We start from the raw sequence: 15,653 nt of genomic DNA on the forward strand, positions 1-15,653 counted from the left end.
AAGGAGAAAGGAGAAATAGCCTTTATTGTAGACCCTACTATAAGCTAGGCATTTAGATACATTATCTAATACAATTCCTTCCAACAATCTTTTGAGGGTTTTTTTTTGAGACGGAGTCTTGCTCTGTCGCCCAGGCTGGAGTGCAGTGGTGTGATCTCGGCTCACTGCAACCCCCATCTCCTGGGTTCAAGAGATTCTCATGCCTCAGCCTCCTGAGTAGCTGGGATTACAGACACCTGCCACCATAGCTGGCTAATTTTTGTATTTTTAGTAGAGACGGGGTTTCACCATATTGGCCAGGCTGGTCTCGAGCTCCTGACCTCAAGTGATTTGCCCGCCTCGGCCTCCCAACGTGCTGGGATTACAGGCGTGAACCACTGCACCCAGCCTTGAGTTGGTATTTTTATTTCTACTTTGCAGATGAGTAAAATTGAGACTCTTGGTAGTTACATAACTTAATCAATCTCACACAGCTATTAAGAAGCCATGATTTTAACCCAACTCTACAAAGCCCAAATTCGTGTCACAACACAATCCTGGTTCTTGGAATTTCAGACTATATAAGAGATTTTAATATGGAAATTTAATTTAAAGATCTATGTACCCAAAATCCTACAGACATTTCAAATTAAGATTGTTTAATTTTTGTATGCAAAATGTTAAATGTACTACACTTATTCTCATTGTATTCTGAGACAAAATTCTTTTTTAAAAATTTCAACTTTGGCCAGGCACGGTGGTGGCTCACACCTGTAATCCCAGCACTTTGGGAGGCTGAGGCAGGTGGATCACTTGAGGTCAGGAGCTCAAGACCAGCCTGGCCAAAACGATGAAACCCCGTCTCTACTAAAAATACAAAAATTAGCCTGGCGTGGTGGCACGTGCCTGTCATCCCAGCTACATGTGAGGCTGAGGCAGGAGAATAGCTTGAACCCGGGAGGCGGAGGTTGCAGTGAGCCGAGATCGCGCCATTGCACTCCAGCCTGGGCAACAAGAGCAAAACTCTGTCTTAAAAAAAAAATTCAACTTTTATTTTAGATACAGGGAGTAGATATGCAGGTTTGTTACATGGGTATATTACACCCAGGTAGTGAGCACAGTATCCAAAAAGTCAGTTTTCAACTCATGGCACACCCCGAGGCCCACTCTAGTAGTCCGCAGTGTCTATTTTTCCATTTTTATGTCCATGTATGCTCAATGTTTAGCTCCCATTTATAAGTGAAACCATGCAGTATTTGGTTTCCTGTTCTTACATTAATTGTTTTAGGATTATAATGTCCAGCTCCATCCATGTTGCTGATAATGACATGATTTCATTATATTTCATGGCTGTGTATTATTCCATGATTTTCTTTCTCATAAGTACCACATTTTCTTCATCCTATCCACAATTGATGGGCACCTAGGTTGATTCCATGTCATTGCTATTGTGAATAGTGTGGTGATGAACATGGAAATGCATGTATCTTTTCAGTACAATGATTTTTTTTTCTTTGGGTATATACCCAGTAATGGGATTTCTGTGGTGGAACTAATTTACATTCTCACAACAGTGTATAAGAATTCCCTTTTCTCTGAAGCCTTGCCAGCATCTGTTGTTTTTTGACCTTTTAAAATAGCCATTCTGACTGGTATGACATGTTATCTCATTGTGGTTTTAATTTCATTTCTCTGATGATTAGTGATGATGGGCATTTTTTCATATGTTTATTGGCTGCTTATTTGTCTTATTTTGAGAGGTGTCTGTTCATGTCCTTTGCCCATTTTTAAATGGGGTTCTTTGTTTTTCCTTGTTAAGTTCCTTATAGATTCTGGATATTAGACCTTTGTAATAGGGATAGTTTCCGAATACTTTCTCCCATTCTGTAGGTTGTCTGTTGACTGCTGATAGTTTTTTTTTGCTGTGAAGCACTTTAGTTTAATTAGGTCTCACTTGTCAATTTTTACTTCAGTTGCAATTGCTTTTGGGGACTTAGCCAAAAATTATTTGCCAAAGCCAATGTCAAGAAGGATATTTCCTAGGTTTTCTTCTAGGATTTTTCTGGTTAGAGGTCTGTCATTTAAATCTTCAATCAATCCAAAATTCTTCTAATAATGCAACATAATAAAACTATGGGAAAGCTGATTATATTATGACAACATTCTAGATAACTATAAACAAGAATAGAAAATAAATGGGAGGTAAATTGCCTTAATGATTATGTGAAAGCTGTCAGAATCAAAATTTCGTTTGTGTTAAAAACTCTGACAACTAGAACTGGGGAAGGTCATGAAGGGAGAGTTCTCATATGAATGCCTGGTAATAAGAGCTATCATAAAAGACTGTAGAAACCACAACCTTGCACAAATGCCATCAGAACCTTACAAAAACCAAAAAACTTCTATGAGAATATCTGCCCAGCATGCCCAGCAACTGCCTGTCCAGCCTTGGACAGGAGCCACCCTTGTGAATGATACTTATAGTCAAGGATAATTATCTCAAAAACTATGATGTAATCCTCCTCATTTTTCCTTCAAAAACGTTTGTCTTCCTTTACCTCCCTGAATACACACATAATTTACTATGGCATGTAATTCCCATTGCAATGTCTATTCCTGAATAAATATTTTAGAGAGTCTCCCTCATTGTTTGTTATTTAGGTTGACAGTTAATATCCTTTTAATCATTATTTTGTTAAAAAATTGTACCTTAAAACTCTTTACAGAAAGTGTTTAAGATACATATTTTCTGAAATTCATCTATTATAAAGTGAAATGAACTAGAGGCTTGAAATAAATTGTTCAATTTTTTTCTGTTATGTATATAGCTACATCAGTGCAGTTATCATATGTAACTAGAATCTTTGGTCCTTGCAAACTTCCCTAACTCTTTTCAGGCATACTTTTAAAAAGTAATCTAAAATTCAATGACAGAAGTGTTTTCTGGTCTACAATATTATTCAAAAAAAGGTTTTGAAACTCATTTTCTCCCTTAAAAAGTCTTGAGCAACAGACAGCTCACAGAAAGAACATACAAGTACCTCAAACACATTAAAAAATAATTTTCCTCCTAATAAGAAAAATAAATTAGAATTACATTGTGATATCATTTTCCCCACTAAATTGGCAAAGGAAAAAAAGTTGAATATACTACCATGTTGGTGAGGAGGTGGAGAAATAGTAATTCCGCTACATTGTTGATATTAGCATGTAGTAGACTTCCATGAGAGCAATTTGGCAAAATCTATCAAAATTACAAATGTACAGGCATACTTTGAAGATATTGCAGATTCAGTTATAGACCACCATAGTAAAGTTAATATTGCAATAAAATGAGTCACATGACTTTTTTATTTCCCAGTGCATATAAAAGTTATATTTACACTATTCTATAGTATATTAGTGTGGAACAGCATTATGTCTAAAAAATGTACATACCTTAATTTTAAAATACTTTATTGCTAAAAAAATGGTAATATTCATTTGATCCTTTAGTGAGTCATAATCTTATTGCTGATGGAAGTTCTTGCCTCAAGGTTGAAGCTGCTGACTGATCAGCGTGGTGGTTGTTGAAGGTTGGGGTGGCTGTGGCAATTTCCCTTCCTTCCTTCCTTTCTTCCTTCCTTCCTTCCTTTCTTTCTTTCTTTTTTCTTCCTTTTTTTTTTTTTTTGAGACAAGGTCTTACTCCGTCACCCAGGCTGATGTGCAGTGGCACAATCATGGCTCACTGCAGCCTTGAATTCCTGAGGTCAAGCAATCCTCCCACCTCAGCCTCTGGAGTAGCTGTAACTATAGGCACATGCCACAATGCCTAGCTAATTTTTAACACTGTTTTGCAGAGAGGGGGTCTCACTATGTTGCCCAGATTGGTCTTGAACTCCTGAGCTCAAGTGATCCTCCTGCCTTAGCCTCCCAAAATGCTAGGATTACAGGCACTAGCCACTGCGCCTGGCCCACAATTTCTTAAAAATAAGACAACAGTGAAGTTTGCCACATCAGTTGACTCTTTCATGAAAGATTTTTCTCTAGCATGTGATGCTGTTTGATAGCATTTTGCCCACAGGATAACTTCTTCCAAAATTGGACTCAATCCTCTTAAGCTCTACTGCTGCCTTATCAACTAAGGTTATGTCATATTCTAAATCCTTTGTTGTCATTTCAACAATGTTCACATCTTCATCTGGAATAGATTCCATCATAAGAAACCACTGTTTGCTCATCCATAAGAAGCAACTCCTCTTCCATTCAAGTTTTATCATGAGATTGCAGCAATTCAGTCATATCTTCAGGCTTCATTTCTAATTCCAGTTCTCTTGCTATTTCCACCAATCTTCAGTGACTCCTTTCCCAGAAGTCCTGAACCACTCAAAGTCATTCATGAGGGCTGAAATCAACTTCTTTCAAACTCCTGCTAATGCTGATATTTTGACCTCCCATGAATCATGAATTTTCTTAATGGCATCTAGAATGGTGACTCTTTTCCAGAAGGTTTTCAATGTACTTTGCCCAGATCTGTAAGAGGAATCATAATCTATGGCAGCTATAGCCTTACAAAATATATTTCTTAAAGAATAAGACTTGATACTCAAAATTACTCCTTGACCCACGGACTGCAGAATGGATGATGTGTTACCAGGCATAAAAACAACATTCATCTCCTTGTACATCTCCATCAGAACTCTTGGATGATTGGGTGCATTGTCAATAACCAGCAATAGTTTGAAAGGAATCATTTTCCTCAGGAGTAGGTCTCAAGAGTGGACTTAAAATATTTAGTAAACCATGCTGTAAAGAGATGGGCTCTCATCCAGGCTTTGTTGTTCATTTAGAAAGCATAGGCAGAATTGATTTGGCATAATTTTGAAGAGCCCTAGGATTTTCAGAATTCTCAATGAGCATTGGCTTCAACTGAAAGTCACATTCTACATTAGCCCCTAAGGAGAGAGTCAGGCTGCCCTTTGAAACTTTGAAGCCAGGCATTGACTTCTCTTTAGCTATCAAAGTCCTAGATGGCATCTTCTTCCAATAGAAGGCTATTTTGTGTACATTGAAAAATCTGTTCTTTAGAGTAGCCACCTTTATCAATTATCTTAGCTAGATCTTCTGGATAAAGGTTGCCGTAACTTCTACATCAGCACTTGCTGTTTCATCTTTAACTTTTATGCTATGGAGTTGGCTTCTTCCCTTAAACCTCATGAATTAACTTCTGCTAGCTTCAGACTTTTCTTCTCCAGCTTCCTCACCTCTCTCAGCCTTCACAGAATTGAAGAGAGTTAAGGCCTGGCTCTGAATTAGGCTTTGGCTTAATACAATATTGTGGCTGGTTTGATCTTCTATCTAGGCCACTAAACTTTCTCTCTGTCAACAATAAGTCTGTTTTGCTTTCTTATTATTCATATGTTCACTGGAGTAGCACTTTTAATATCCTTCAAGGATTTTTCCTTTGCATTCACAACTTTGCTGTTTGGTGCAAGAGTCCTAGCTTTCAGCATATCTCAGCCTTTGACATGCCTTCCTCATTAAGCTTAATTGCTTTTAGCTTTTGATTTAAGATGATAAATGTGCAACTCTTCCTTTCACTTGAACAATTAGAGGCCATTTTAGCATCATTAGTTGGCCTAATTTCAATATTCTTGTGTCTTGGGGAATAGACCCAAGCAGGGGGAGAGAGATGGGGGGAATGTCGGTTGGTGGGGTAGCAAAAACACACCCAATACTTATCAATTAAGTTCACTATCTCATATGGGTGCAGTTTGTGGTGCCCCAAAACAATTACAATAATAACATGAAAGATCACTGACCACAGATCGCCATAATAGATATAATAATAACAAAAAATTTTAAATATCAAAAGAATAACCAAAATGTGACAAAGACCCAAAAGTGAGCACATGCTCTTGGAAAAGTGACACCGATAGACTTGGTCAGTGCAGGGTTGCCACAAACCTTCAATTAATAAAAAATGCAGGATCTGTGAAGCACAAAAAAGCAAACTACAGTAAAATTAAGTATGCTCGTATCAGTTTTCCCCACATCACTTATGTAAGGGGCTATCCTTTCCCCATTGTGTGTTCTTGGCACCTCTGTCAAAGATCAGTTGACTGGGTTCTCTATTTTGTTCCATTCGTCTATATGTCTGTTTTTATGTCAGCAACATGCTGCTTTGATTAATGTCACTTTGTAATATATTTTGAAGTCAGGAAGTGTGATGCCTCTAGCTTCATTTTTCTTGCTCAAGATTGACTTGGCTATGTGGGGTCTATTGTGGTTCCATATAAATTTTAGCATAATTTTTTCTATTTCTATAAAGAATGCCAGTGGGATTTTGATAGAGATTGTACTGAATCTGTAGATCACTTTGAATAATGTGGCTTTTTTTTTTCTTTTTTTTTTGAGACAGAATTTCGCTCTTGTTGCCCAGGCTGGAGTGCAATGGCGTGATCTCAGCTCACCGCAACCTCCAGCTGCAGGGTTCAAGGGATTCTCCTGCCTCAGCCTCTCGAGTAGCTGGGATTACAGGCATGCACCACCATGCCTGGCTAATTTTGTATTTTTAGTAGACACGGGGTTTCTCCAAGTTGGTCAGGCTAGTCTCGAACTCCCCATCTCAGGTGATCCACCCACCTCAGCCTCCCAAAGTGCTGGGATTACAGGCATGAGCCTCTGTGCCTGGCCTAATGTTGACATTTTAAAAATATTGAATTTTCCAATCCATGAACATAGGATGTATTTCCATTCATCTGTGTCTTCTTCAGTTTCCTTCATCAATGTTTCATAATTTTCAGCATGCAAGTGTTTCTGTTTTGGTTAAGTTTGTAGCTATTGTAAATGGGATTGTTTTTTAAATTTCCTTTTCAGGTAGTTTTGCTGTTTGTGTGTTTTAGTATGTTGGTTATCCTGTAACTTTACTAAATTGGTTAGTTAGTTCCAACAGATTTTTTTCCTTTAGGGTTCTGTACATATTTGATTGTGTCATCTGCAAACAGAGATAATTTTACTTATTCTTTTACAATTTGGATGTTATTTTGGTCTAATTATTCTGGCAAGAACTTCCAGTAATATGTTGAACAGAAGTGTCAAGCATGAACATCCTTGCCTTGTATTGGATCTTGGGGGAAGCTTTCGACCTGTCCCCCAAGGTTTGATTGTGGTGTTAGGTTTGGGCTTTTCATATATGATCTTTGTTGTTTTGAGGTAAGTTCCTGCTATATTTATTTTGTTGTAGCTTTAATCATGAATGGATGGCAAATTTTGTCAAATGTTTTTTTCTGCATCTATTGAGAAGATCATGTGGTTTTTTCTTTCATTTTGTTAATGTGCTGTATCTCATTGGTTGATTTGCATATAGTGAACCATCCTTAACTCCCAAGGATAAACTCAAGTTGGTCATAGTATATGATCCCTTTAATGAGCAACTGAATTCAGTTTGCTAGCATTTCATTGAGGACTTTTGCATGTATATTCATTGGGACTATTGCTCTTTAGTTTTCTTTCTTTCTTTTTCTTTTGTATAGTGTTTTTGTCTGGTTTTGGTGTCAGGATGATGCTGGCCTCATAGAATGAATTTGGAAGTATTCCTTATCTTTTTGGGAAGAGTTTAAGGAGAAAGGGTATTAATTATTTTACAAATGTTTCATACAATTCACCCAGGAGGCCATCTGATTCTGGGCTTTTCTTTGCTGGAAGGCTTTGATTATTGATTCAATGTTCTTACTTGTTATTGGTTTCTTCAGGCTTTCTATATTTTCTTAATTCAGGGTATATGGTTCTAATCTTCTAAGTTATAGTTTATTGGCATATAATTAAATTGTTCATAATAGTCCCTTATGATTCTTTTTTTTTTTTTTTTTTTGAGACAGTCCCACTCCATCACCAAGGTTGGAATGCAGTGGCATGATCTCAGCTCACTGCAGCCTCCACCTCCTGGGTTCAAGCAATTCTCATGCCTCAGCCTCCCAAGTAGCTGGGATTACAGGCATGTGCCATCACACTCGGCTAATTTGTGTATTTTTAGTAGAGATGGGGTTTCACCATGTTGGCCAGGCTGGTCTCGAACTCCTGACCTCAAGTGATCCACCCTCCCTGGCCTCCCAAAGTGCTGGGATTATAGGCGTAAGCCACTATGCTCAGCCGATTCTTTTTATTTCTGAGGCACTCTTTGCAATGCGTCCTCTCTTATTTCTGGTTTATTTGAGTTTTTTTTCTTTTTTCTCAGTCTAGCAAAGACTGAGATTTTTTGTTGATTTTTTGTTTTCAAAAAACCAACTCTTAGTCTTATGGAATCTTTTCTCTTGCTTATAAAATTCTCTATTTGAGGCCAGGCCTAGTGGCTCATGCCTGTAATCCCAGCAGGAATCAATTCCTGAGGTCAGGAGTTCGAGACCAGCCTGACCAACATGGTGAAACCCCGTCTCTTACTAAGAATACAAAAATTAGCCGGGCATGCTGGTGGGCACCTGTAATCCCAACTACTCAGGAGGCTCAGGCACGAGAATCACTTGAACCCGGGATCATGCCACTGCACTCCAGCCTGTGTGACACAGTGAGACTCTGTCTCAAAAAAATAAACAAATAAATAAATATATTCTCTATTTCTTCTTTGATCTTTATTAATTCCTTTATTCCACTAATTTGGGGCTTAGTTTGCTCTTTTTCTAGTTCTTTGAGGTGTAATATCTTATTTGAGATCTTTCTCCTTCCTCCCTTCCTCCCTCCCTCTCTCCCCTCCCTCCCTCCCTCCCTTCTTTCTTTCTCTTCCTTCCTTCCTTCCTTTCTTTCTTTCTTTCTTTTCTTTCTTTCTTTCTTTTTCTTTCTATTTCTTTCTTTTTGAGACTGAGTCATGCTCTGTCACCCAGGCTGGAGTGCAGTGGCATGATCTTGGCTCACTGCAACCTCTACCTCCCAGGTTCAAGTGATCTCCTGCCTCAGCCTCCCACGTAGCTGGGATTACAGGCACGCACCACCATGCTTGGCTAATTTTTTGTATTTTTAGTAGAGATGAGATTTTGCCATGTTGGCCAGGCTGGTCTCAAACTCCTGACCTCAAGTGATCCTCCCACCTCGGCCTCCCAAAGTGCTGGGATTACAGGCATGAGCCACTGTGCCCGGCCTTCTTTCTTCTTTTAATGTAGGCATTTATCACTATATACTTCCCTTTTAGTACTGCTTTTGCTGCACCCTATAAATTTTGGTATGTTCTACTGTTTTTCTCTTTTTTTTCCCTTTCTTTCTCTCTTTCTTTTCTTTCTTTCTTTTTTTTTTTTTTTTTTTTTTTCTTTGCCCAGGCTAGCCTCAAACTCTTGGTCTCAAGCAATTTTCCCATCTTGGCCTCCCAAAGCAGTGGGATTATAGATGTGAGCCATCATTTCTAGCCTCAAGATACTCTTAAAATTACCCGTTGATTTCCTCTTTGACCCAAGAGTTGTTCAAGAGTTTGTTGTTGAGTTTCTATGTGTTTGTGATTTTTCCTATTTTCTTAAGATTATTGATTTCTACTTTCATCCCTTGTGGTCCAGAAAGATACTTGGAATAATTCCAATCTTCTTAAATTAGGTCACTTGTTTTGTAATCTAACATATGATCTATCCTGGAGAATGTTCCATGTATGCTTGAGAAAAGTGGATAATCTTCTGTTGTTGGGTGCAAATTTCTTTATATATCTGTTAGGATCATTTGTTTTATAGTGTTTTCTGTTTCTTTTTTGATATTCTGTACATTATTATAAGTGGAGTATTGAAATCCTCTACTATTATCATGTTACTGTCAAATTCTGCCTTCAGATCTGTCAACATTTGCTTTATATATTTAGATGCTCTTTGTTCAGTATATACATATTTATAATTGTTACATAATCATGTTGAAATGATCTTTTTATAATTATATCAAGACTTTGTCTCTGCAGGCAGCTTTAAACTAAAATCTGTTTTGTCTAACATAAGTATAGTTACCCTGCGTATCCTTGGTTACCATTTGCGTGAGAAATCTTTTCTCATCTCTTCACTTTTAGTCTATATGTGTCTTTAACTCTAAAATCAGTCTCTTATAAACAACATACCATTGGATCCTGTTCTTTCAAATTACACAGCCACTCTATGCCTTTTAATTGGTGAGTTTAATCCATTTACATTTAAAGTAATTAGTGATAGCTGAGGACTACTATTGCCATTCTGTTAACTGGTTTGTGTCTTTTGCAGTTATATTGCCCCTCTCTTCCTCTCTTATTATATTCGTTTGTTATTTGATGTTTTATAGTGATTGCTTTGATTCTCATCTCTTTATGTTTTCTGTATCTGTTACAGATTTTATTCTTTGTGGTTAACTTGAGGCTTATGAAAAATATCTTGTATTTCTAACCATCTATTTTTAAGTTTATAACTATTTCAATCACATCCAAAACCTTTATACTTTTGGCCAGGCATGGTGGCTCACACCTGTAATCCCAGTGCTTTGGGAGGCTGAGACAGGAGGATTGCTTGAAGTGAGGTGTTTGAGACCAGCCTGTGCAATGTAGTAAGACCTTGTCTCTAAAAAAAACCAAAACCAAAAACCGTTTTACATTTTTACTCCCCACCCCTACACTTTGTGTTCTTGTAGTCAGTTTGTTGCCTTTTATATTGTGTATCCTTTGACAAATTTTTATCTTTTAATTTTTATATTAGGGTTAAAAGTAAGTTAGGCCCCACCATTATAGTTTTATATTAACTATATTTGTCCATATATTTTCCTTTACTCATAATATTTATGCTTTTATATGTTTTCATTATACTATTTAGTGTGTTTTCATTTCAATTTGAAGAAATAACTCTTTTAAACATTTCTTTTACGGCTGGGCTAGTAGTGACAGACTCCCTTTGTTTTTGTTTGTCTAAGGAAGAATTCATCTCCCCTTCATTTTTAAAGGATAATCTTGCCAGATGTAGATTCACGGTAAGTAGTTTTTTTTTTCCAGTTCTTTCAATATATCATCCCATTCTCTTCGGCATGCAAGGTTTCTGATGAGAAAGCCACTGATAGTCTTATGGTGATTCCCTATATGTGATGCATTACTTTTCTCTTGCAGCTTTAAAATTCTTTCAGTGTCCTTTATTTTAGACAATTTGATTAAAATGTACCTTGGTATAGTCTTGAATTGATCCTCTTTGAAAACCTGTAAGCTTCATGAATCTGGATATCCATTTCCCTCTCAAAATTTGAGAAGTTTTCAGCCATTACTTCTTTATTTTATTTTATTATCATTATTATTATTATAATTTTTTGAGAAGTAGTCTTGCTCTGTCACCCAGGCTGGAGTACAGTGGCACAATCTCAGTTCATTGCAACGTCTGCCTCCCAAGTTCAAGTCATTCTCCTGCCTCAGCCTCCCGAGTAGCTGGAATTACAGGCACCTGCCACCACACCTGGCTAATTTTTGTAGTTTAAGTAGAGACAAGGTTTCACCATGTTGGCCAAGCTGGTCTTTAACTCCTGACCTCAGGTGATCCACCTGCCTCGACCTCCCAAAGTGCTGGGATTACAGGCATGAGCCACTGCACCTAACCCATTATTTCTTTAAAAAAGCTTTTTACCTCTTTCTCTTGCTTTTCTTCTTCTAGTACTCTCATTATGCACATATTGGTTTGCTTGATGGTGTCCCATAAGTCCTATAAATTTTCTTCACTCTTTTTCATTCTTTTTTCTCCTCTGACTGGATAATTTCAAATAACCTGTCTTCAAGGGCACAAATTCTTTCTTCTGCTCAATAAAGTCTATTTTTGAAGTTCTCTATTGTGTTTTTAATATCAGTCATTAGGTTTTTTGGTTCCAGAATTTCTTTCTTTTTCTTTTTTTTTTTTTTTTCTTTTTTTGAGTTGGAGTCTCATTCTGTCACCCAGGCTGGAGTGCAGTGGCATGACCTCAGCTCACTGCAACCTCTGCCTCCCAGGTTCAAGTGATTCTCCTGTCTCAGTCTCCTGAGTAGCTGGGATTACAGGTGCACACCACCATGCCCAGCTAATTTTTTGTATTTTAGTAGATATGGGGTTTCACTGTGTTGCCCAGGCTGGTCTCAAACTCCTGAGCTCAGGCAATCCGCCTACCTTGGCCTCCCAAAGTGCTAGGATTACAGGTGTGAGCCACCACTCCCAGCCTGGTTCTTTTTTATAAGTTCTACCTTCCTGTTGAACTTCTTGTATTGTTCATGTATTCTTTCTCTGTTTTCAGATGAAATCAGACATGTTCGAGGTGGTATGGCCGTAGACTCTTTTTCTGTTTTCACTGAGTTGTCCAACTGTGTTCTCCTATTGCATGCTGAACTTCTTTAAAAACAATTATTTCTAATTGTTTGGAAGGCAATTTATAGATATCCATTTCTTTGGGGTTGGTTATTGGAAAATTATTGTGTTCCTTTGGTGGTGTCCTGTTTCTTTGATTTCGTGTGTGCGTATTTCTTGTAGCCTTGGGCTGTTTCTTTGCATATTTCATGGAGGAGTAACTTCTAGAGCATATGAACTGGCTTCATGGAGGAAGACTGTCACCTACAGGTTGGTGCAAGTGATGGCAGCAGTGGCCTGTCTGGAGTAGCCACTGTGAAGATGCCGGCTTCAGCAGGGGAAGCACAACTGGGGCTGCACACTCTGCTGAGCCCACGGGTGCCGGGAACAGGTGGGAGCCCCACCCCCTAACAAGTCAGTGGAGCAGGAGCCACATGCTCCCAGGCACAGCTGCAGCTTCTCAGCTGTAGCCACAGACCCAGGCATCCCTGAGGTCTCAGGGGCCCCGGAAGCCCTTTGTTCCCGTAGGCTTGAAAGTGCCTGCTCCCACTGCCTGGCCTCTCCCTGCTCCTGGCCCCCACTCTGGGGCAGAGCAAAGTTGTGGCAGAGCCCAGGCACTGTTGTGACCCAGCTGGGTACCCAAGCACTCAGGGCAGTGCTGACATGCCAGCCCCCTGCTGTCTCAGGCCATCCAGACTTTGGGAACTGAAGAGCACAAGAGGGAGACCAAGGGGTTGCTCAGGGTGGCTCAGTGTGGGCCTGTAGGCAAACCTCAGCATGAACAGCCTGGGCGGCATGGACAACATGTTGATGGTGACAGGAGGCAGACAGGCTCCTGGGCAGAAAGGGGCAGGTTCCCAGTGAAACGCAACCTTCAAGCCATGGATGGCATGAAGCCTGGGGGCTGGGCTGTCAGCTCCAGGTGGAGTCTGCGGCCTGGAGTGAGAACTTATGGTGCTTTTTCCAGGCCCGCCCATGGCCACCCATGGGCCAATCAGAACACACTTCTTCCTTTCTGAGCCCATAAAAACTATGTTACCTAGCTAGACTCATACAGATGTCAGGACTACCAGCTGCAGGAAGGAGCTACCCACTTCAGGTCTCCTCTACTTGTCAGTATGACCTGCCTGTGGAAAAGAGCTACTCACTCTGGGTCTCCTTTCTGCTGAGAGTTGAACACTTGTTGGGACAACCTGTCTGTGGAAAGGAGCTACCTACTCTGGGTTTCCTCTCCCCTGAGAGCTGGACACTCATCTGGACAACCTGCCTGCAGCTAGGAGCTACCTTCTCTGGGTCTCTTCTCTGCTGAGGGCTGCACTCGTCAGGACTACCTGCCTGCAGAAAGGAGCTATCCACTCCAGGTGTCCTTTCTTCTGAGAGCTGGACACTTGTTGGGATGACCTGCCTGCAGGTAGGAGCTGCCCACTCTGGTCTCCTCTCTGCTGAGGGATGCACTCGTCAGGACTAACTGCCTATGGAAAGGAGCTACCCACTCCAGGTCTCCTCTCCCCAGAGAGCTGGACACTTGTCAGGATGACCTGCCTGTGAAATGGAGCTACCCAATCTGGGGCTCCTCTCTACTGAGGGCTGAACTAGTTGGGATGACCTGCCTGTGGAAAGGAGCTACCAACTCCAGGTCTCCCAAGAGCTGTTCTGTCACTCTTTTGCTCAAGAAAGTTCCTTTCTGCCTTGCTCACCCTCCAGTTTTCTGCATACCTCATTCTTCCTGGACACAGGACAAAAATTCAGGACCTGTTGAATGGTGGGACTGAAAGTGCTATAACACAAACAGAGCTAAAACACCTGCCTCCACCCCACTCGTCACACTGCAGGCAATGAGAAGGAGAGAAGAGCTGCAGCCCTTCAGGGAGCTCAGATGCACAGGCTCCCCCAGCCAGGGCTGTGACACCCTCTTTGGGGCTCTGTGGTTTCTAGTGTCTTGGAGCTTCCAAGTGCCACCATGTTCCCCTTGTCCAGATGTGAGTGCCCAGAGCAGAAGCCACTTATAGTGCATCTGATCCAGCCACAGGCTTGAACAGAGCCAGCACCTGTGGTGGCACCTGGAACTGCCCACCCCACCACAGCAGCCAATGCTTGGCTGTGTGCAGCAGCCAGACCCCATGCTTGCTTACTTGTGCACCCCTCTCCTCTCCATGCCTGGATCATTCTTTGAAGGTGTGGGAGCCAGGCCAGTAGCATGAGCTGAGTGCAGCCTGCCAGGCCGAGTGGGTGGAACAAGCCCAGCAGGCTTGAGCAAAACTCTGGCAAAGGCACCACTGGCCACAGAGGTTTCCAACTGGAAAAGTGACACCTGGAGGATGCCATGACACAAGGATTCTGACTGATGGGTATGCAGCCCTTGGTACAACACTGAATATAAATGGTAAGAGTGAACGTCCTTGTCTTATTCCTGATCTTAGGTGGTACTATGGTTTGAATATGATTTGTTTGGCCCTGCCAAGTCTCATGTTGAAATCTGATCCCCAGTGTTAAAGATGGGGCCTGGTAGGAGTGTTTGGGTTGTGGGGGTGGATCCTTCATGAATAGCTCTGTACCATTCTCACGAGAGTGAGTTCTTACTTTTAGTTCCCACAAGAACTGGTTGTTGAAAAAAGCCTGGTACCTCCTCTAGTCTCTCTCTTGCTTCCTCTCTCACCATATGATATGCATATACCAGCTCCTCTTCACTTTCTGCCATAAGTGGAATCAGCCTGGAGCCTTCACTAGAAGCAGATGCCAATGCCATGATTCTTGTGCAGCCTGCAGAACCGTGAGACAAATGAACCTCTTTTCTTCATGAATTACCCAGCCTCAGGTATGCCTTTATATTAATAGTAACACAGACTAAGATGGGATAATTTTTTCAAGCCTTTCACCACAAAGTGACATTAGCAGTGTGTTTTCATAGATGCCCTTTATCAGGCTGAGGAAGTTTCCTTCTATTCCAGGTTTCTTGTTTGTTTTTTTAATCATTAAAGTGTGTTGAATTTTCTCAAGTGCTTTTTCATATCTATGACATGACTGTTTGGCTTTTGTCCATTATTCTATTAATATGATATATGATAATGTATGCTGAGCCTGTATTCATGGAATAAATTCCACTTTGTCATGGTCCATAAATATTTTTATATGGAGCTGGAATCATTCTGATAGTCTATATTCATAACAATAGTTTATATTCATAAAGTTACTGGAAAGAATTTGGCTGTTAATCTTATCAAGAATACCTCAGAGATGATGAGCTGCTTCTGTCTTTCTGCTTTCAATATACTCTCTGTGCCCTTGGTTTTCCAGTTGGTTATGTTGTGTATAGGTGTGCATCTCTTTGCATTTATACTACAGTATAACCTTGAACAACATGAGGGGTTGGGGTGCCGACCCCACTAGTCAAACATCCACATATACATACCTGTGAGAAGAGGGTAG

General features: G+C 40.3%; 2 non-coding genes across 2 annotated transcripts; both read left to right on the plus strand.

Moving 5' to 3' along the window:
* Positions 1–13,376: 13,376 nt before the first annotated feature.
* On the plus strand, positions 13,377–13,445 carry MIR4421 (microRNA 4421). Its single transcript, NR_039617.1, has one exon. It is a non-coding gene; the product is annotated as a microRNA 4421 (primary transcript).
* Positions 13,446–13,557: 112 nt separating this feature from the next.
* On the plus strand, positions 13,558–13,643 carry MIR6500 (microRNA 6500). Its single transcript, NR_106754.1, has one exon. It is a non-coding gene; the product is annotated as a microRNA 6500 (primary transcript).
* The last annotated feature ends 2,010 nt before the right edge of the window (positions 13,644–15,653 follow it).

This window comes from Homo sapiens, chromosome 1, assembly GCF_000001405.40.
Source record: "Homo sapiens chromosome 1, GRCh38.p14 Primary Assembly".
Classification (NCBI taxonomy): domain Eukaryota; kingdom Metazoa; phylum Chordata; class Mammalia; order Primates; family Hominidae; genus Homo; species Homo sapiens.